The 23,734-nt window shown below is 36.3% G+C and overlaps 1 annotated feature.

Moving 5' to 3' along the window:
* Window positions 19,018–19,218: a silencer, noted in NCBI's record as "peak6918 fragment used in MPRA reporter construct". NCBI's record gives its function as "represses an SCP1 promoter by STARR-seq MPRAs in K562 erythroleukemia cells {active_cell/tissue: K562}" and the evidence as "EXISTENCE:reporter gene assay evidence [ECO:0000049][PMID:32103011]".

Genomic DNA, 23,734 nt, shown 5'->3' on the forward strand with positions numbered 1-23,734 from the left:
ATATACACAATGGAGTTTAAAAAGGGAAGAACAGAAAGAAAAAGACGAAAAACAGTATTTCAAGAATTAATGGCCTCAAACTCCCTAAATTTAATAAGCAATCTTTATACATTAATGAAGCTCAATGAAATCTAAGGAGGAGAAACTCGAAGATATCTACAAAAAGATAGAAAGTCATGCTGTCCAAAGGCAAAGATATAATCATACAATCAGCAAGAGAAAAGTGACTCGCCATATAAAAGAGATCCTCAATAAGATTTATAACTGACCATCCATCAGAAACTATAGAGGCTAAAAGGAATTGGGAAAATATACTCAAAGAAACACTGGGAAATAATTGGGAAATATACTGAAAGAAAATGAATGTCAACTGACAGTTCTATATGCAGCAAAACTATGCTTCACAAATGGGAAAAATTAAGATTCCCAAATAAATGAAAGCTTAGAGAGTTTGTTCCCATTAGAACTGTGCCACAAGAAATATGAAGGGAGTCATTTAGGCTAAAAGGAAAGGACATTGGACAGTAACTCAAATTCACAAAAAGAAATAAAGAACACTGTTAAAGATGATTGCATATGTAAATATAAAAGTCAGTACAAATATATTTTGGTTTTTAATTCTTTTTTTCTCTTACATAATGTAATTGACAACTGCATGAAACAGTAATTATAAAATTGTGCTGATGAGCTTATAGTGTATAAAGATGTAATTTGACAATAATAACAAAAAGGGTGGAAAGAATTGAGCTATATAGAGGCAGTTTTCATGTGTTTTTAAAATTAAGTTGTAATTTGAACTAGATTGTTTTGAATTAAGATATTAAGATATTAATTGTAATTCCCAGAAAAAGGATTAAAAAAACTTCAAAACTTCTTGTAAAGTAAGAGAATTATAATAGTTTACTAAAAGTATTTATTTAACACAAAACATTAAGTACTTGAAGAATAGATGACAAAATAAGAAATATGTCATAGAAAAGAGCAACATAATAGATGGAAATCCTACTTTATTAGAAATTATATTAAGTATAAATAGACCAAATACTCCAATCCAAAGACAGAGATTAGCAGAATGGATAAAAATCATGAACTCACCGTCTACTGTCTGTAAGAGATACACTTTAGATTCAAATAAGTTGGATGCAACTTTTTATTTGTTCAATAAAAAGTTTAATATCCAAATAAAAGGATGCAAAATTTTATTTAAAAAAAAGAGCTTGAGTGGCTACGACAGCAGAAAAAAAATAGACTGTTGGACAAAATTTGTTCCTTGAGGCAATGAAGGATATTTTTCATGATAAGTCAATTCACCAGAATGATATTAAAAATGATAAATACATATGCCCTCCAAAACAGAACTCTAAAATACAAGTAAAAACTAACAGGATTGGTGGTCAAAACAGACAATTAGAGAATAATTATTAGTAACTTTTAATAACCCACTTTTGGTAATGGAAAGAACCAGGCAGAAGATCAACAATGAAAAAGAAGACTTAACACTATAAATCAACTAGCGATAATGACATCTATAAAACCCCACCAAAAAACAACAGAATATATATTCTTTTCAAAAGCACATGAAATATTTTGCAGGACAGAATATGTTATGCCATAAAGCAAGTCTCAGTGAATTTACAGTAATTGAAGTTATACAAAGAATGTTGTCTAAATACAATGGAATTAGAAATTAGTAACAAAAGAAAGTTTAGGAAATTCACCCATATATGAAAATCTAAAACCAGAAGTCTACATAACTAGTGTATCAAAGAAAAAATCATAGATAAATTAAAAAATCATTTGAGACTAATAAAAACAAAAACAAAAACAGAACATACCAAAAGTAATGGGATCCAGCAAAACAATGCTTACAGAGAAATTTATAGGTTTAAATGCTTATATATTTTTTAAGAAGCTCAATTCAGTTACCTAACTTTTCCCTTAAAAAACCACAACAATAAAAGCAAACCAAACCTAAGCAAAAAGAAAGAAGGAAAAAAAAACAGAAAAAAAGAAATGGAGAATGAAAAGACAAGGGAGTAAATCAACAAAATCGAAAGTTGGTTTTTTAAAAAGTTTAACAAAAATAAAAAACTTTATCTAGATTGACCAAACACACACACACACACACACACACACACACACACACACACACACACACACATACAGAATTTAAATACCTTAAATACTAATATCAGAAACGAGAGGGGTTCATACTGACCTTACAGAAATAGAAAGATTATAGGAAAACACTATTAATAATTGCGTGCCAAATATTAGATAATCTAGATAATATGGACTAATTTCTGGAAAGACTCAAACTGCTCAAACTGACTGAACAACAAACAAAAAATGGAATAAACCTAAAACAAAGTGAATTAGTAGTCCAAAAAACTTCTGCCAAAGAAAAGCTCACACCCTGATGGCTTCAGTGTAGAATTTTAACAAATGTTTGAAGAAGTATTAAGAACGGTTTGTCACAAACTTTTCCAGCACTGTCCTACTTATTTCGTGAGCATAGTATTTTTCTCATACCAAAAGCAGGCAAAGATATCACGTGAATATAGAGGCAAAAATCCTCAATAAAATACTAGCAAACAAACTCAGCAATCAATAAAAAGGATTATATTCTACGACCAAGGGAGATTCATTCCAAGAATGAAAGTTAGTTGAATATATGAAAATCAATAATTGGAATACAGCTTATTAGCAGAATACAGGAAAGAAACCTCACGTTATCACCTCAATAGACAAAAAAAAATTATTTGATAAAATACAACCAAAACACTCAACAAACCCTTCAAAAACACTCAATTCAGAATAGAAAATTATTAAATCTGATAGGAGTTACCTAAACCAGATTCTTGAAATTCATTAAGAATTCTGAAATTCTGAAATCTGATAACCATATCAGATTCTGAAATTTGATAAGGGCATCTGTGAAAAACTCACAGCTAACATCATACTTATTCTTAATGGTAAGACACTAAATGTTTTCTACTTTAGGTGAGCAATAAAATAAAGATGTCCTCTGTCACCACATATATTCAACATTGTATTGAAAGCTGTAGCCAAGACAATTAGGCAATAAATAAATAAATAAATAAATAAATAAATAAATAAATAAAAGTCATCCCAATTGAAAAGAAAGAAAACTATCTCTATTCAAAGATGAAATAGTCTTGTACATAGAAAAATTTAAAGAAATAGGAAAAAATCCAAACCAGAATAAATGAAGTCAGCCAGGTCCCTGGATGTAACATCAATATGTAAAAATTAATTATATTTCTATACACATGAAATGAGCATTCCAAGAAAAGGAAAAAATCCTGAAATAAAATCATCAAAAAGTTATTACAAGTTAATAAAAGGATTGAAAAATTCATACACTAAATCTCCAAAGCTTTATTGAAAGAAATTAAGGAATATCCAAATTAACAGAAGACATTTTATATTTATGGAACGGAAGAGCTAATATTGTTAAGAAGTCAATACTTTCTAAACTGATGTACAGATTCAATGCAATGTTTGCCAATATTTTAGTTTTTGCAGAGACTGATACGCTTATCCTAAAATTCATATGGAAATTCAAAGGAGCCCATGCAATCTTTAAAAAGAAAAAAGCTGATGGGCTATACTTCCCAGTTTCAAAATTTTCTATAAAGCTACAATAAAAAAAAAAAATCAACCAAAGTGTGGTTGTACTCACACAAAGGTAAATATAGAGATCAGTGGAAAAGAATTAAGACTTCAGAAACAAACTCCTTCCTTCCCCCCTTCTCCCTCCCCCTTCCCCCTTCCTACCCTTCCTACCCTTCCTTCCTTCCTTCCTCCCTCCCCACTCCCCTTCCCTTCCCCCCTCCCTCCCTGCCTCCCTCCTTCTCCTTCCTTCCTTCCCCTTCCTTTCCTCTCTTCCTCCCTTCCTTTCCTTTCCCTTCCCTTCCCTTCCTTCCTTTCCCTTCCTCTCTTCCTCCCTTCCTTTGTCCCTCACTCCCTCCCTCCCTCCCTTCTCTTCCCCCCAGCCTCCCTCCTTCTCCTTCCTACCTTCCTTTTCCTTCCTTTCCTCTCTTCCTCCCTTCCTTTCCTTTCTCCCTCTCTCCCTCTCTCCCTCCCTCCCTCCCTTCTTCCCTTCCCCTCCCTTCCTCCCTTCCTCCCTTCCATTTTTGAGACAGGGTCTTGCTCTGTCACCTAGGCTGGAGTGCAGTGGTATGATTTCAGCCTCAGACTTCTGCGTTCAAGCGATCCTCTTACCTCAGCCTCCCAAAGTGCTGGGATTATAGGTGTGAGCCACCATGCTCCACCAACTCTTACATTTTCAGTTTTTATTTTGACAAAGGCTCCAAAACAATTCAATGGGCAAAAGAATAGTCTTTTCAACAAGTGGTCTTGGGAAAACTGAATATCCACATGCTGAAAAATGAAAAATTTGACTCCTATCTCATATTATATATAAAAATTAGCTCAAATGAATTATGAAGCTAAATATAAGACCTCGAAGTATAAAACTCTTAGAAGAAAAGAGTAAGTTTCTCTGTGGGCCAGGTGTGGTGACTCATGCCTGTAATCTTAGCACTTTTGGAGGCTAAGGCAGGCAGATCACCTGAGGCAAGGGTTCGAGACCAGCCTGGCCAACATAGTAAAACCCTGTCTCTACAAAAAATACAAAAATTAGCCAGGTGTGGTGGTGTGCACCTGTAATCCCAGCTACTATGGAGGCTGAGGCATGAAAATTGCTTAAATATGAGAGGCGGAGGTTGAAATTGTAGTAAGCTGAGATTGCACCACTGCAATCCAGCCTGGGTGACAGAGTGAGAGTGTGTCTCAAAAAAAAAAAAAAAAAAAAAAAAAGAAAAAGAAAAATTCTCTGTGACCTTGGATTAGACAATGGCTTATTAGATATTACACCAAAGAAAAATAACAAAATAAAACATAGACAATGAATTTTATCACTTTATGAAAAGTTTTTTTTAAAAAAAATGTGTGCTTCAATGGACATTAATTGAAAAGAAAACCCATAAAATGGGAGAAAAGAATTGCAAATCACATATTTGATAAGGGATTTGTATCCAGAATATATGAAGATCTCTTACAACTCAACAATAAAAACATCAATAACCCAGTTTAAAAATGGGCAAAGGATCTGAATAGACATTCCGCCAAGAAAGATATGTAAATAGAGAATAAGCACATGAAAAGATGGCCACATTAGTCATTAGGGAAATGCACACCGAAACTACAGTGAGTACCACTTCACACTCACTTGGTAACTAGAATAAGAAAGATAGGCAATAAAAAGCTGGTAAGGATTTGGAGAAACTGGATCCCTCAGACATTGCTGCTGGGATTCTAAAATGTATCATTCCTTTGGAAACAGTTTTGCAGTTTCTCAAAATGTTAAATACAAGGTTGCTATATAACCCAGGAACTCCACTTCAAGGTATATTTTTACCCAATTTCCTTGGGAATTGAGAACATCTCTTCACACAAAAACTTGTACATGAATGCTCATAACATTATTCATAATAGCCAATATTGGGAGTGAGTCAAACATCCATCAACCAATATTAGATAAACAAATGTGATATATTAATACAATGTTATGCAGCAACAAAACGGAATAAAGTGCTGATACTTGCTGCAGTAAGGGGGAACCTTGGGAAACATTAAGTGACGAAGCCAGACACAAAAGACTATATATTGTATGATCCCATTTATGCAAAATGTCAATTAAATAAAATATATAAAGACAGAAAATAGATTACCTATTGCCTGAGGATTGTATTTGAAGATAGAGGATTTAGCTCTTTGGTTGCAAATGTCTAGGTATAATAAATGTTAGTGTATAGTCAATAAAGTATCTTTTTTCTGTTTTAACAATTTCTTTTTTGTACTTGTACATTTAGTTTTCCAGGGGAAAATTTTTAAAAGCATATCAAGATTCATCCCACCAAAAATTATCTCATTGAGATTTGTGCTAACATTACATTTTATTTTCAAATTCATATGAAGAACGTTAAAATATTGATGATATTACATATTTTTATCCATCCATCCAAATGGAGGACATCTCTCCATTTAGTAAATGTTAAAACTGCATATCTCTATAGGAAAAAAAAACCAACCCAACTATTATACTAAAAAAGAAGAAAAAAAGAGAAAGCAGCAAAGAGTCATTAAAAAACACCAACATTTAAAATACAGTTACAGAAATTGGACTTAACATTTCAGTAATAACAATCCACATGAAAAGGCATGCTTATTAAATATTAAATAACAAAGGCTCTTAGACGTGATTGAAAAGTTCGCCTATGTATTATTTGAAGAAATACTCATGAAATAAGACTAAAAATAAAGGTATCTGTAAATACATAACAGAAAATCATACAGTAAACTAAGAATTGTTTGAATAATAATAGAAATAAAATAGATTTGGGGACCAAAAGCACTGTAAAAGAGGTATGTTAGTATTGGTAAAATCTGCTATAGACAATAAAGATAAAGCAGTCACAAATATTTATGTATTAAAAGAGAGATCACGAGGTCAGGAGATCGAGACCATCCCTGCTAAAACGGTGAAACCCCATCTCTACTAAAAATACAAAAAAAATTAGCCGGGCGTAGTGGCGGGCGCCTGTAGTCCCAGCTACTTGGGAGGCTGAGGCAGGAGAATGGCGTGAACCCGGGAGGCGGAGCTTGCAGTGAGCCGAGATCCCGCCACTGCACTCCAGCCTGGGCGACAGAGCGAGACTCCGTCTCAAAAAAAAAAAAAAAAGAGAAAGCATCAAAACATATAAAACAAATAAGCATTTGCTCAGTAACTTCTTAGTCTCTGAAAATAAATGCAGCTGTATAAAATAGATAAAATTATTCATAAACCGATATTATAAAAATACATTGAATGTTCTATAGTATAAACAGGGCATAGTGAATTCTTGTAATTTTATGTTGCTTCAGCATCCATGTTGAAGATAGTTTTAACTTGCTTATGCTAGAAGCAGGGCTTAGTCACTCTTGACTAAGCAGTTTGCAGTTCTTCCGTGTGGCAAACCATTTATCTGCCTTATACAATTACCTCCTGGTGACCACTTCTCTATGGAACAGCTAAAAACAACCTACTCGACCCACCCAACTGATCTCCACCCGCCACCACCCCACATGGACTATGCAGCAGATATGATGTAGTGACCACCTGTCAGTCACAGCATGACTCTGGGGAACTCGTATCTGTTTGCTCCAAACTGGACCATTACACCGGCTTGGGTAACACCCTGGACCCCAGTGAAGGATTTGGCTGGCAAGCGTCTCTCTCTCTACCTTCCCATCAGCAGTTTGAGCACACATGTCCTGAATGGCTCCCAACTTACAGCTGGCCCTGCAAAGTAGGCCCTGACTACCTCTCTGAGATCTGTAAGTAATAAACTGTCTCTGCTATTTCAAATGTTTTGAGTCACTGCCTATGTGTCTCAGCCAACTGACACACCTGGACCTAAATTCTTTCCCAATGGGGGCTCTCCTAGAGAGTGGCTATATTAGTGGGAATAAACTAAGTATAGGTCAGACAAGAGCCACAGGGACATCCACCAGAATCAACTAGTTTCCTGTGACAAGGATACCAGGTCACAGATCGGACAGTTAGGTATTAGGCTGCCCACCAGGATAAAGTAGCATCCTGTGAAAGGGAGACTGTAAACATCTAGTACGAAACCCCTGGAACCCTGTAAAGGCAAGGCTCCAGCTTATAGCCACTCTCCAGGGAGAGAGAGACCTCAAGACCAAATTAGGAAAAAAAAAAAAAATACAGCCTGGGGAATGTGCATTTTTTCCAAATGTTGGAAGAAGATTTCCTAGCAAAAATAAATACTCAGCCATTTAAACATTTTAAAATATTCTCCTAATAATGATACAAAGAAGAATTTAAAACTGCAATTACAGATTATTTAGAAATTGAGGCCAACCTAACAGTAGAAACCTAGAAACAGCTTGAATGGTCATCAGTTGTAGAACATATCAGTAAGTTATGGTACAAAGAATAAATGTAAATTGTATGTTTTGTGTTACTGATTACTTTGAAGTTATTTGTTAAAATAAGGCGATATCTATGATGGATTGGAAAGCAAATGACATTATATATTAATCAAAAAATTAATACAGAAAAATATATGCTTGATCTAATTTTTGGAAAAAATCTGTATGTGTACATGTTCTTTTTTTTTTTTTTTTTTTTTTTTTTTTCTTTTTGAGACAGAGTCTCGCTCTGTCACCCAGGTTGGAGTGCAGGAGCATGATCTCGGCTCACTGCAAGCGCCGCCTCCTGGGTTCACACCATTCTCCTGCCTCAGCCTCCTGAGTAGCTGGGACTACAGGCACCCACCACCACGCCCAGGTAATTTTTTTTTTTTTTTTTGGCATTTTTAGTAGAGATGGAGTTTCACTGTGTTAGCCAGGATGGTCTCGATCTCCTGACCTCATGATCCACCCGTCTCGGCCTCCCAAAGTGCTGGGATTACAGGCATGAGCCACTGCGCCTGGCCTATTCTTTCAAACAAAGGGTATCATGGATCAATACCCACCAAATCACTATAAATAGATACATTGAGGAGGGAGGAGAACTCATAAATTTTGTTATGGAAATTTCTATATTGGTTGGACTGTTTTATTAAATATTGCTTTTGTGTTTCTAATTATTGAATGGAAAATAATTTCAAAGAGAAGGACTGAGGAGTGTGAGAATGCCTATCAAACTATATAGCCAAAGATTATTTCCTGGCTCTAAATGTTTTAAATTATTACATAAGAATAAATGTGGGGAGAAATAGGAACGCTTTTACACTGTTGGTGGCAGTGTAAATTAGTTCAACCATTGTGGAAGGCAGTGTGGCGATTCCTCAAGGATCTAGACCTAGACATACCATTTGACCCAGTCATCCCACTACTTGGTATATACCCAAAGGATTATAAATCATGCTACTATAAAGATACATGCACACGTATGTTTATTGCGGCACTATTCACAAAAGCAAAGACTTGGAGCCAACCCAAATGTCCATCAGTGATAGACTGGATTAAGAAAATGTGGCACATACACACCGTGGAATACTATGCAGCCAAAAAAAGGGTGAGTTCATGTCCTTTGCAGGGACATGGATGAAGCTGGAAACCATCATTCTAAGCAAACTATCACAAGGACAGAAAACCAAACGCCGCATGTTCTCACTCATAGGTGGGAGGTGAACAATGACAACAAATGGACACAGGGCAGGAAACATCACACAGCGGGGCCTGTCAGGGTTTGGGGGGCTGGGGGAAGGACAGCATTAGGAGAAATACCTAATGTAAATGAGCAGTTGATGGGTGCAGCAAACCAACATCACACATGTATACCTATGTAACAAACCTGCACGTTGTGCACATGTACCATAGAACTTAAAGTATAATAATAAAAATAATAAATGACGTCAAATTAAGCCTTTGACTCAACAATCTAGAAAAAGAACAGAAAATATTTCTAAAGATAGCAAGATGCTGGAAGTAAAAACAGAAGCTAGATATAATTAGAAAAATATCATGTTATTATTTGTCTAGACTTTGGTGTTTTGCTTTTTTTCTTGAGACAGTCTTGCTCTGTCACCCAGCCTGGAGTGCAGTGGTGCAACCATGGCTCACTGCAGCCTCAACTTCCCAGGCTCAAAGGAACCTCCCACCTCAGCCTCCCTGAGTAGCAGGAACTACAGGCATGCACCACCATCCCTGGATAATTAATTTTTTCCTTTTTGTAGAGATGGGCGTCTCATTATATTGCCCAGTCTGATCTTGAACTCCTGACCTCAAGTAATCCTCCCACCTTGGCCTCCCAAAGTGCTGGGATTACAGGTCTGAGCCATTGTGCTCGGTCGACTTTGCTTTTTATGTTTAAAAAATGCCTTTGTCTCGATTTCAACATTAAAGCTAAAAACCAAAATCGATTCTCCCTATGATGAATGGGAAATTTAGCAATCTTTCGTGTTTTCATTCCTTCTCAATTTCTTAGTTTTTATTTAAATAATCTGAGTTTTAAGATCCAGTTTATTATTAATGTTCACGCTATTTACTTTTTCTTTTAAGATTATTCTTGATACTTGCATTCAGTTCTATAAGCTATTATGGAAAATGTTATGACTTACATTGTAGTTTTTAGTGTGATTTAGTTCTTAAACTATTTTGTTTAAATCATATATTTCCTACTTTCAGTATCACTGATATTGACATATATTAACATTTCTTTTCAAGAAGAATAAATGAATAGTATATTTTTAAATCCTTGCAAGTCTAATAATGCTATTGTTTCCACCCAATATTTTGACTGGCTGTTTCTGGCAATATGAATTCAAACTGAAAATTTGATTCATCATTGGGCAGATATACTAACATAGGAAATGCATCTCATACATCAGTTTTGTTTTTCTTGGATACAACAGCTGAAGCGGTTTATGTTTAATTATTTCACATGCATACCATATGTGTTATATAATACAGCATATGGTCTGTATGTGGAATAATTAAACATGTGTTTTATTAGAACACGTACGGTATGTATATGAAATAATTAAACATAAAGCCCTTAAGCTTTATGTTTATCAATGTATGTAACATAAATGTATTTGACATAAAATGCCATTTGATATACGCTGGCATTAGTGAATTTAATTCCTTAAGAGAAGGAAATATTTATGCTTTATTTATGTAAGAGGAAGAAATGTTTATATCTATTAATTAAACATTGGTTTATAATAATATAGGTCATGAAATGTCTAGTTTAAATTTTTTATCAGCTAATAAAAGGAAGATAACATTGAATAAATAAAATTACCATTTGATCATGCCTTTAATCATTACCGCACTATTTATTATACCATCCAGGTGCCTAGAACTGCTTAAAACACTGGAAATATCATTCTTTCAATTATTGATATTTCTAAGATATGCCACCACTAATTCAAATGATCTTTCAGAGAAGGAAAAGAAAATCACAGTGTAATGGTACCACAATTTGCTCTAAGCTATCTATTTTGGGGTCATCTCTTAATGCAAATGTATGACGTTTGACTGACTATATGTTCAGAAATCTTTCATCCAGCACAATTTTTTTTTTGCAGTGACTACAACTGTAGTTCAAATTCAGAAAAAAATAAGTAGCAACTGTCTTTACTGGTTTACTTGTTTTAAGATCATTTGCCAACTATTTTCAGATTCTTTGCCTAGTATTTTAAAATTACCAGCCTTGTTATTCTACAATAAACCAAGCACACATTGTGCTAGGTTCTATAGCATGTAAGATTAAGAAGACCATTTCTGTTTATAGAGCGCTTACAACTGAGATAAAGAAGACTGCTATTTATACACAAATAACTATATTTAAAGTTATGACTTTTAATAATCATAAAAGAAAAAAGTATGTCATAGTATTAAGAAAACAAAAATAATTTTATAATATTCTACTAAAACACTTCAATGGCCTCCCATAGGAAGAAATTACAACTACTTAGCTGACAATAAATTTCTTTCACATATGTTCCTAACTTGCCATCCCCATCTCTTGCTCTAGTTTCCTATATTAATTATATACCTTAGTAAAACCAATCTTTTATTGAACCCCAAGTACATTTTGTTTTTTTCTGCCTTTATGTTTTTGTCCCTCTTAAACTGTCTCTCTCAAAGGCCCAGTAAAAATCTTACTTCCCGCACTAATTCTCACCATTTACCTCTGAGAAGTGCTAGTAAAGCATATTTATTTCACAATAAAATAGAATGATTAAATTTTGGCTTCTGTTTGCTGGTTATGTGTGCACACACATACACAAATACACCCTCACACATGTGTAGTGTTTCCTATTCATTAGCATTTAGATTAGTGCTTTATAAAGAACAGGTTTAAGTACTTAATAAATATTTAATTTCTTGATTGGCATATGTTTTCCTTGACAAGTTTTTCTGGATTTTTCTGATAAATTTATTTTAAAAAATAAATATTGTATTGCTATGTCCTTTCATCTTTCATTATTACCCACAGTTTATGATCCCAACCTGGCTGTGATGGAGAGTGTCTTCAGGCAAGCTCCATTAACTTCAACATTTCTATTTCTGTTCTTCAATGACTCTTTTATTCCCTTTCTTTTCGCCAAAATGAAATCAGCTTACACTTCACATTTTTTATGATTATATTCATTTGCATTTGGCATTCGGTAGTCATTCCTTCTGACTCAGTTGGCACTTAAAAGATCTGCCTTCAATGTGAGAAGCCTGCCATGAGCCTACTTTACAAGTGAAAATGCTAACCATTTATTTCTTTTCATGCATGTTTTCATTAGAACATTAATTTCTTTAATATATAGTACTTCATCGGGATAAAACCTAGCATTTGCTTTACCCATACATGAACAAGCCTCACTATTATTCATCTACGGTAAAGAAGATTTGTTTGTTTTCATTGAAATTTTAGCTAATCGACTGTACACTTTCCTACAAATGGCTGCATTATTTTCACTTCATTATTCCCACTCAATCTCCCACTCCCAAATGCTCCATCAAAATATATAGACCCATTCAACTATGTAGCTTTTTCGTTAATCATTCATGTGGGTGGTTGTGTATGTTTACTATAGCTCCCTTACAGAAAAGTTTAAAAACAAAAATGCATAGCTCAGTAGTTTACTACAATCGGAGGTTAGAAAAGAGGATATTGTCAGCATCAAATAAACTTCCTGCCTGTGCCCTCTCAATCACAATTCACTTCCCCCCACAAAGGTAACCATAATGCTAATTTTCTTACTTTCCTTTATAGTTTTATCTCCCAGGCAGGTATCCCTAAATGCTATAGTTTAAATGCAATCATATGATATGTGATATTTTGTAGCGGGCTTCATTTCCTCAACAGTATGATTGTGAGATCTATTCACGTTGTCGAGTGTAGCACTAATTCATTCACATGCAATCTTCTTCAATAGTTTTCTGCTGATAAACATAACGCAACATATTAATCCATTCCACTGCTAAGGAACATCTTGTTTTTTTCCTAGTTTTAGTTTACAAATACTATTGTTATAAAATTTTTTACCATGCTTCTTCAGACACATAAAATTTGTTGGGTCTATACCTAGGAATAGAACTGCTAGATTATAAATTGTTACACATTTGTTCAGCATTTGCAGATACTGACAAACAATTTTGCAAAATATTAGTACCAATTTATATAATTTCACCAACCCTGTAGGGAATTCCATTTGTCCCAGATCCTTGTAAACCTTTGGAGTTGTCATTCTTTTCATATTTAGCAAGTCTGGGTGTAGGTATCTCTCTGTGATGGTATCTCATTGAACTTTTAATATACATTTATTTGGTGACACACAAAATTGAATATTTATTCACATACATGCTGTTGGCATACTCACTTTTGTTTACTGTCTGGATCTTTTGCCCACTATTCCACTGGTTTGTCTATCTTTTCCTTGATTTGCAATTGTTTTTGTTTATTGTGGACATACATCATTTTTCAGTTATATGAAGCTTGTCCTTTAACTTTTTCTTCTAACAGAAAGTCTTAATTTTAATGTGTCAAATCTAACAATCCTCTCAATTCTGCTTAGTAATTTTTATGTTCCTTTTGAGAAGGAACATGCTGACTTCACATAGATACTCTCTTTATGATTTATTTTTCATTTAGATAAAAAATTCACCTGAAATTTTCAGGTATGGTGATGGATTCACATTGATTTTCAAAATTTCCTGCTTATCAGTATCCATTTACCCCTAGGATAATTTATTTAAAAGTTCACCCATACCCTAAGACTATTGAGCATTGCTACCTTTATGATAAATTGCTAATACATGCATGGGTCTGTTTCTGATCACTGTTAAATTGATCTAATTGTCTATCCTTCCTACAATCTATTCCTGTAACTTAACTTTGTTTTTACGTCTAGTAGAACAAATCTTTACATTTTCTATTCTTTTTAAAGTGTGTCTTAGTTTTATTGCCATTTGCCTTTCCATATATTTTTTAGAATTACTAATAGAATCACTTTTCATAAAGATTCCTTTAGAAATTTGCTTAGAAGTACAATAAATGTATTTTGAGAACAGATATCATTAAATACTGTACTTCTAATGGATAAGTATGACTCTCCCTCTGTCTGAGTTTTCTTCAAATTCTCTCATTGTTTTACAGTTTTTGCAAAGAGGTATGGCACATCTTTCTTTATATTTATTGACAGTTATTTGATGTATCAGATACTATTTTAAATGGTCTCTCTTTGAAGTTTGTTTCTAGTTACTTAAAAATCCAGTTAATTTTTGTCTATCAGCCTTATATCCAACATCTTCATGAAACTCTTCTAACAGTTGATTTGTAGATTTTCTATATACACAGTATAATCTACAAATAAAGACAGCTTCATTCCTTGCCTTCTAATCTTTATGTTTTTTATCGCCTCTGCTTTTCTTACTTTACTGACTAGAACTGCCAGTATCAGGTTGAATAAAATTGATTGTAATGACCACCTTTGTTTCACTTCCAACGTAAAAGGAAGTATTTTAGAATTTCACCATTAAAATGCAGCGTCTGTCAACTGTATCACAGTAAGAAAATTTAAACTCGGTACTGAACGACTAGGATCTAGCCTGCAGAACTAGAGCACAGAATTTTTAAAAGTTAATCATAGAATGCAGAAGATTCAGAACATGAATTAAGGCCAAAATTGCAATGAAAAACCCTTATAAGGTAGTGGCAGACACTTTACAGGAAAGACGTTGCATGTAAGAGTAACTCTAAAAGGGTTTTCTTCTTGTCTTCTACCATAGTTGAATTGAGGGGTGGAGGTGGAAAAAACAACAGAAGTCCTGTGCTTGCAAATCAGAGGGTAAAAGGCACTTTTGGACGGGTGCAGTGGCTCATGCCTGTAATCCCAGCACTTTGGCAGGCCGAAGCAGGTGGATCAGGAGGTTAGGAGATCGAGACCATCCTGACTAAGACGGTGAAACCCCGTCTCTACTAAAAATACAAATTAGCCGGGCGTGGAGGCGGGCGCCTGTAGTCCCAGCTACTGGGGAGGCTGAGGCAGGAGAATGGCGTGAACCCGGGAGGCGAAGCTTGCAGTGAGCTGAGACGGCGCCACTGCACTCCAGCCTGGGCCACAGAGCGAGACTCCATCTCAAAAAAAAAAAAAAAGACACTTTTGCCTCACGTTCCTGGCAATTTCCATGGTGCCCTCAATCCATGGCATCACTTCAAGCGAGCAAAACTGGTTCCAGTGGAGCTCCCATAGAAAGAAGCCATGGGATAACCTCTTTTTTCCAACTGGGCTCTCCAGATTCAGGGTAGGAAAAGCTCCAATAAAGGTGCTGGACTCCTTGAACGGGGTGGAGACACTGGCTAAGAATTAAGAGTCGGCCGGGCGCGGTGGCTCACGCCTGTAATCCCAGCACTTTGGGAAGCCGAGGCAGGAGGATCATGAAGACAGGAGATCGAGGTCATCCTGGTTAACACGGTGAAAACCCGTCTCTACTTAAAAAAAAAAAAAAAAAAAAAGAAAGAAAAAAAAGAGAAAAAAAAATTAGCCGGGCGTAGTGGCGGGAGCCTGTAGTCCCAGCAACTCAGGAGGCTAAGGCAGGAGAATGGCGTGAACCCGGGAATCGGAGCTTGCAGTGAGCCGAGATCGCGCTACTGCACTCCAACCTGGGCGACAGAGCGAGACTCTGTATCACCAAAAAAATAAATAAATAAATAAATAAATTAAGCAGCAATGTTTCTCCCAGATGAGGATAGCAGCATGGAGCTACAGGCCCTAAAATGAGTCAAAGGAGACCACTGAAAGCCAGAGCTAGATGTATGGTATTGCTGAGTGATAGGGTCATACAAGCATTAAGAGATCAAAGGGGCTGAGCTGCTTGAAAGCAATCACCATAATTCCCAAGAGACAATAATGACTCGCATTAGGAGTGGAAAACAAGAACGAACGAGACATCACCATGATAGTCAGAGGAAAGCAGGAGGACCACAGGTCCTGTTTCCCTCTCATGTGTTACATCAGCTTCCACTTTGTACCCAAATACTGCCCTGGAGAGAGGTAGAATACTGGGCTGGAAGAATATATAAGCACTTCTGGTTGGGAACTCAACTTCGAAAAAAATATTTAGGGAAAACAACTTAAAGGACAAAAAACTAATGTGTTTTCCCAAACAGTCTGGACAAGTGGCGCTAACTGACAAAGCCTGTGTTAAATTATCTTTGCTGACCTATGCTTTTGTATGATGTCATCCACGCTATTCAAAGATCCTCTAATAAAAGTTCTAAGAAATTAATCTCTTTTTTCCTTTTTCTTCTTTGAGATGGAGAGGTGCTCTGTTGCCCAGGCTGGAGAGCAGCGGCACGATCTCGGCTAACTGCAACCTCTGCCTCCCAGGTTCAAGCGATTCTCCTACCTCAGCCTCATGAGTAGCTGGGATTACAGGTGTGCCCGGCTAGTTATTTTTAGTAGAGAAGGGTTTCCACCATGTTGGCTAGGCTGGTCTCAAACTCTTGACCTCAGGTGATTCGCGCCCCTCAGCCTCCCAAAGTGCTGGGATTACAGACATGAGCCACCACACCCGGCCAGAAATTCATCATTGTTTCTGAGGTGGTTGCGGACATCCTTATTTTGTTATTACATTCTCCAATGTTCCCATTATGAGAACCCTTAAGAAACACTCCTGTCTTATTTTAAAACAAAAAGCAACTTTTGAAAATTTTCTCTTTCCCTTTTTTATATTGCCATTTTGGATTCTGTAATTGACAATGGGGCGCTCCTTTCAGAAGTGATCCAAGGTTGCTTTCATGCTTGGCAGAGCAGCAGGAGGAGGAAAAAAAATACCACTGTAGATGGGGTTAAAAAGAAATCAGCTGATGACAACATTTGTTAAAGGCTGAGTGTGACCTGGCTTGAGAGTTTAGAATCCCGAGAAGCCCCCGCCAAAAAGAATGACGCTCACCTGTCCACTCTTTCTCAGGGTTCTTCATCAAGTGCTCACACAGAGGACTGGAGGTACACCAGAACTGAGAGAAATTGTCCCAGGCATGAGTCAGAGGTTGTCACAGCTGTTGGAAGAGAAGGAACGCTGAGAGCGTCCCCTCTGAACCACTTTGGGCCCTTAGAAGGCTGGAGTGGAGGAGCCTGAGACAATCCCTTCAGGCCTTGCTGAGTCTAGAGAATGAGGAAGTGAGAGCTAACAGACAGCCCCCTTATATCCTGGACTTGCAGCAGGCTGAGGGAGGGGCAAAAGAACTGAGAAGAGATCGCTGGCCAATCAGATTTCAAGCCCTGCTGAAGGGACGTTTCTGATCCTGCCCACCTACCATCAGCAGCCAACCTGACACTGAATCTAACTAAAGCAATGATAAGGCCCATTCCCAGTTCAAGAACAGAAGATGCTGGCTCAGCTAAGACCACACCCTTCTTCCTCCCCTCCCCCAGCAGCTTCGCAGGAGAGGAGTGTCTTTTTCTGAGTGTCTTTTTGACTTCAGTTTTTACTATTTTATACACAATGTCTGACATACAAGAAAACATTATGAAACACCACAGAAAAGCAATAAAATTAGACCCATCATCGAGAGGGTCTATAAAATCAGACCTGGGATGGCTCAAATGGAACTATCAGACAGGGGCTTTAAAAAGAAAAACAGATTAAATAAAGAGGTGGAGAGTGTGCATGAACAGATGTGCAATTTTGGCAAAGATCAAAATTATTTTTTAAAAAGCCAAAAGGAAATGCTACAAGTAAAAAATGTAATGTCAGAGAAAATGGAGGGAGGGAGGAGGAGAGAGAGAGAGAGTGAGAGACAGAGAGAGACAGAAGAGAACATAGGCAAGGAAACCATTATCATGCTAAAAACATTGACAATCGTTCCTTAATAGCATCAAATATCCAGTCAAACATTCAAATGTCCTATCAGATTTTTTTTTACAGGTTGTTAAAGTAAGTTTTATAAGTTTTATAAAGTATATTGAAATTGCTTAGTTTGGTTTTTAAGGCTCTTTTATAGTTTTCTTTCCATTTTTTTCCCCTTCAGAAATTTCCAAGCTGAAGAAGCTCGGCCAGACAGTGTCCCCCACAGTTTGGGTTTTGCTCATTCATCTCTGTGCTATCATTTAACACGTGTCTCTGTGCTTTGTATTTCCTGTAACCTGGCAGTTAGATCTAGATACCTGATCAGATTCAATTTCAATTTTTTTGAAGATAGTGCTTTATAGGCAGTGATGTGTACTTCCTTCGTGATTCTCTGAAAAAAATTTTTTTTTTTGGGAGAATATTTTGCATTTCTTTATTAGCTCATGTGTATATGTCCCTAGCAAAATGAATTGAAAAGTTACCTATTTGAGTCAATCAATTTCAATTTGTGGGTGTTTAAATTTGCTTTTAAAGTTTTCATGCTAGATAATGTTTTGATTTTTTTTCGATTTTCTCTGAATTAGTGAGTTTGACTCACTAATTCGTGGCTTTTTCACTGTGTTAATTTCTGTTTAACTTTTCTTTTGGGATTATAGCTCCATTCTCCTTTAAATTTACCATTGCATTTGACAGAGAAATGATCAATCAATCACTTTCACAAGCTAGACCTCCTTTGGAGTGAACAGTCACTTTGGACTCTGCTGTCTTGAAGTTCAGTGACTCTGTCGAGGGTGGGATGGAAGCTTCAGGACGTGCCCCTCTGCAGTCCTGCTTCCATCTAGGCAGCTCTGGTTTCACTATGAACCTGGAGGGCAGAGCCCTCCTTCCCTTGCTCAAGGTGGAAACTGTGTGCCTTGGAGACCTCTCACAGACAAGAACAGACTCTAAGATGGCAGTAGGACTAGGAAATGACATTCCTCTCCTTTAGTCTCAGGAAAAAAAAAAAACCAGAAAACTTATTTCAGCTGTGGAAAAAAGAAATCTGTTCATAAGTATCCCTGCTGCATTGAATACATACTTCAGTTAAATTTGTGATCCTGAATATTGGCAATTCAAGATATTTTGATTAATCTTTATGTGCATCTGAGCACTAGAAACTACATATATAGTAATGTATAGCATAGATGGCAACTCTTTTCCAGCAGACTTGCATTTAGATGAGACTGCAAATTTCTAATCTAGTAGGATTAGCAGAGGAGAGAGAAGGGAGATAAAACAGCAACCTATTTACAGTGATTCCTGTTACTGATAAAGCCTCAGAATAATTTATCTGACCCAATGGTATTAATACTAAATCTTCACTAAGTTGCACTTGCTGGCCATCCAGTACATTCAGGCTTTGCAGCACTTTCAGATCCTCAGTCCTGATACGACTTAGGTGCAAATCCTCCTGTTCTATGGGCCAATAACCTTTTAAAATTCCTTCTGAAGCCTCATATACATCAAGGCTTTTTGGCTGTCATTTCTACTTGCTTGGAATAAAAATGTCAGAGCAGGGGAATACCAATAAAAAGGACGTACACAAAGGTAGGAACTGGGGAAAATCAAGTAGCATAAACATCAAGCAAGTTGAATTTTTGATGACTGCATTTTCTGTGTCTCACTAGAAATTCCATGTAGGCTGTATGTATAACATGCAGATGTATTTGTAATATATAATGGAGTATAATATACTGAACTCAACTTAGTGATTTCTTCAGAGCTGTATGTATAACATGCAGATGTATTTGTAATATATAATGGAATATAATATACTGAATTCAACTTAGTGATTTCTTCAGAGATGCCTTTTTAAAAAACTGCTCTGTTTCACCAAGAGCTTATTTTATTTATATCACCTGTGTATACATTCCGAATCAGGGAGGCAGTGCGTAAGAGTGGCTCTCAATGCAGGTTCTAAAGTTAGACTTTCAGAATCAGAATCTGGCTCTACCACATTAGCAGTACGAATTTCGGCAGCCATTAAATCGTGCAGATTTCCTCCTCCAAAAATAAAGATGATATGAAATACACCTACTTTCTAAGGCTGAGAAAATCAAATTGGTATAAATGAATATATTGACTATCATCCTAATTTTAGGATACGGGAGCACCCACAAGGGTTTAATAGCGGCCCAAGTTTATAATTCATATAATTCAGAATTAGCTGCAAAATTATGAATTGAATTATCTAGAATGAACTAGAACATGCAACCAGCTGTGTAGAATCCTATGGTGATAGATAAAATGTAATTCATTGGAATTCCGAAAGGGCTGCATGTCCGAATTATTATAAAAACTACGGCCAGGCGCAGTGGCTCATGCCTGTAGTCCTCACACTTTGGGAGGCTGAGGGTGGCAGATCACGAGGTCAGGAGTTCAAGACCAGCCTGATCAACATGGTGAAACCCTGTCTCTACTAAAAATACAAAAATTAGCCAGGCGTGGTGGTGTGTGCCTGTAATCCCAGCTACTCGGGAGGCTGAGGCAGGAGAATCGCTTGAACCTGGGAGGCAGAGGTTGCAGTGAGCCGAGATTACACAACACTGCACTCCAGCCTGGTCAACAGAGTGAGACTCCGTCTCAAAACAACAACTACAAAAAAAAAAACTACATCCTGTAATCTGACAGGGTCTCAGTTTCCCCCATTTGTAGAATGGGGATAATATTTCCTTTTATAGAAAGTTGTGAATATTAACTGTAATAGTTTATAAATTTCCCGTGATACAGGAGGTACTTAATTAGTACCTCTTTCTGATCTCCTTTTCTAATTGTTAATGAATTGGCAATACAAAAACATTAAAATTTTTTTATTTCAATAGGTTTTGGGGAACAGGTGGTGTTCGTTTACGTGAATGAGTTCTTATAGTGGTGATTTCTGAGATTTTGGTACATCCATCGCCCGAGGAGTGTACACTGTACCCAATGTGTAGTCATTTATTCTTTGCCACCCACTAGCCTTTCCACCAAGTCCCCAAAGTCCAATGTTATGATACTTATGCCTTTGCCTCCTCATAGCTTAGATCCCACATGAGTGAGAACATACGATGGAAAAACATTTTTGTCATAGAAACGTTCGCTATAATATAGCAGCAATCGCAAAACTTTAAAAACTGAAGCTAGCAGCTTTGACTATGCACCCTGAAATTCTACCCTTGCCTTCAGTTTTCTATGTGTATTTAATTTTTACAAAGGAAACTGGAGATCATATTGTTTTGATAGTGAATAGGAAGTGTCTTCTCCTTCTATAAAGCACATTGTGTCTTTCCTTATCCATAGTGCTGCCTAAAACCTTGGCTTTTCTGCTACTGGAATCTTGAATTTTTTCTTCTTTCAAGTGAATTTTTCCTATGATCATAACAGTTCCTTTCCGTAAAGATTTCATATCTCTTCAGCCATTTGCCTTGCTATGGAGATCCAAATTTAAGAGAAGCACTTTAACCATTTTTGAATGTAAAGTAAAGGGAACTGAATGCATATTATGGTTTTTAAATAGTTCAAAAGAACTATTACAACCTAAAATAAGTTTAAAATGTCTCTGACTAAAACTTGTAGTTTATACGTTTATTCTTTAAGGATGTGATTCTCTGAAACAAATTAAATAAATCTAAGTTTTGCATGAAATTATCATTTCAAAATGCCAAAGAGTAATTTGCTTAGAATCTTAGTACAAATTTCAACTGCAAACTTGTTCTACTCCACTGGAAGAGCACTACATTTTATGAATATTGACTTAAATACATTGGACCATACCTGGTCCATACATGGACCATAATCTCTGTTTTAAAACTAGTCTGTTTCAAGGTGTCAGATAGGCTTATGGCTGGGCACAGTGGCTCATGCCTGTAATCCCAGCATTTTGGGTGGCCCAAGCAGAAGATTGCTTGAGCCCAGGAGTTCAAGATCAGCCTGGACAACATAGGGGGACCTTGTGTCTATAAAAATTTTTTTTTATTAGCTGGGCATCGTGTAGTGTGTCTGTAGTCCCAGCTACGTGGGAGGATGAGGCAAGAGGATCGCTTGAGGCCAGGAGTTTGAGGCTACAGGAAGCTAGAGTCATTCCACTGTGCTCCAGCCCGAATGACAGAGCAAGATCCTGCCTGAAAAAAAAAGGTCTTTTTTATTCAAGTCTCTATAGTTAAAAAAAAATTGTCACAAACACTGATGCATATGTACATATACAAGTCTATCTAGGAAAAAATAAACTATGACAAACTTCATCAGTTTCTATCTAGGAAAAAATAAAATATGACAAACTTTATCATTAAACTGATTTGAAAAGGGTTTCTGAGAACATTCTGGTGCACTACATAATCCTTATGTAGGAAAGCTAGGATGCCAGATGTTTATGTGTTCCATCCTCATTCTCATTAAAGGTTCCATTGTTTTTTTTTTTTTTTTTTTTTTTTTTTTTTTTTTTTTTTTTACCACCAACTTTAATTGCAACCAATTCACTAGGCTGCCTTAATTATAACATTTTAGATTAGGAAAAGACTTAGAAATCATCTAGTGTTTGTCAAACCAAAATGATCATCTGAATCACCTACGATGCTTTAAAAAAAATTAAAAAACCACTTACTTTCCCATTCCTGGAGATCCTGGTACTGTAGATGTATGTAAAAACCAAGGATCTGTCATTTAAAAAATGTCCTAAGGTGATTCCAGCAGATGAGCCAGATTTGACAACTCTGTGTTGTAGAATTGAATCTTCTCTATAACATCTTTGCCAAATTGCTATTTGGCTGTGATTGATTACCTTGGGTCCTAAAGAACTTTATCTCTCCAAGCAATGATTTTCCTTTTTGGACATCTCTGTTGCAATAGTTTTTACTGTATTTGATGAAATCTACTTCTTTGTTGCTTCTGCCTACTGATCTCAGTTATCCTTTGTGACAAAAACAAGTCTATTCTTGTTCCACATGACTTCTCTGAATGTTTGAAGGTGACTTGGATGTCTTCCTGAGTCTCTTCTGGGATAAACAATCCAAATTCAAGCATGTTTTGTCTCTCATGATTTTCAAATGTTGATCTCATTGGTAGTTCTCCTCAGGACACCTTCCCATCTGTCTCCCTGTTTTCAAGCGTATTTCTCCAGGCAGTGTAAAGAGAGGTGTGTTTTAAATACCATAGTTCTTTGAAGCTTCTAAAGTTACATAAGTTTAAAATAGTCTTTTTAATTCATGTGGTTCTTATTTTCAACTAAAAGTATTATGTTTTCCTGAATGTGCTAGTACTAATTCATATCTTCTACATTTAATTAATGTGATTTATTTAAAAAATTCAAGTGCTAAGTTTTTGTACTCTTGTATAAAGTACGTCTTGCTGGATTTAACCTATTAGGGAAAAAGTAAAATGGTATTACAATTTGGGTGTGGTTTCTCCCTGCCCAAACTTATGTTGGAATTTAATTGCATTTAATTGCCAATGTAGCAGTGTTAGGAGGTGGTACCTTTAAAACGTGCTTAGGTCCTAAAGATGGATTTCTCAGAAGACTGTGTTAGTTCTCTGGGAATGGATTTGTTCCCATATGTGTAGGGTGTTATAAAATGGGGTTGCCTCTTATCTTTTGTCTCTCTGCACATGCCTACTTCTCCTTCCTTCTGCTTTCTGCCATGAGTTGAAACAGCACGAGGTCTCACCAGATTGGCGGCCTGAACTTGGACTTCCCAGTGTGCAGAACCGTAGCTAAATAAACGTATTTGCTTTATAAATTACCCAGTCTTGGGTATTCTGATATAGCAACACAAAATCAACCAAGACAAAGGGTAGTCTCAGACCTTGATCTTCAAATGTATTTGCTATT

This window comes from Homo sapiens, chromosome 8 (genome assembly GCF_000001405.40).
Source record: "Homo sapiens chromosome 8, GRCh38.p14 Primary Assembly".
NCBI classification, from domain to species: domain Eukaryota; kingdom Metazoa; phylum Chordata; class Mammalia; order Primates; family Hominidae; genus Homo; species Homo sapiens.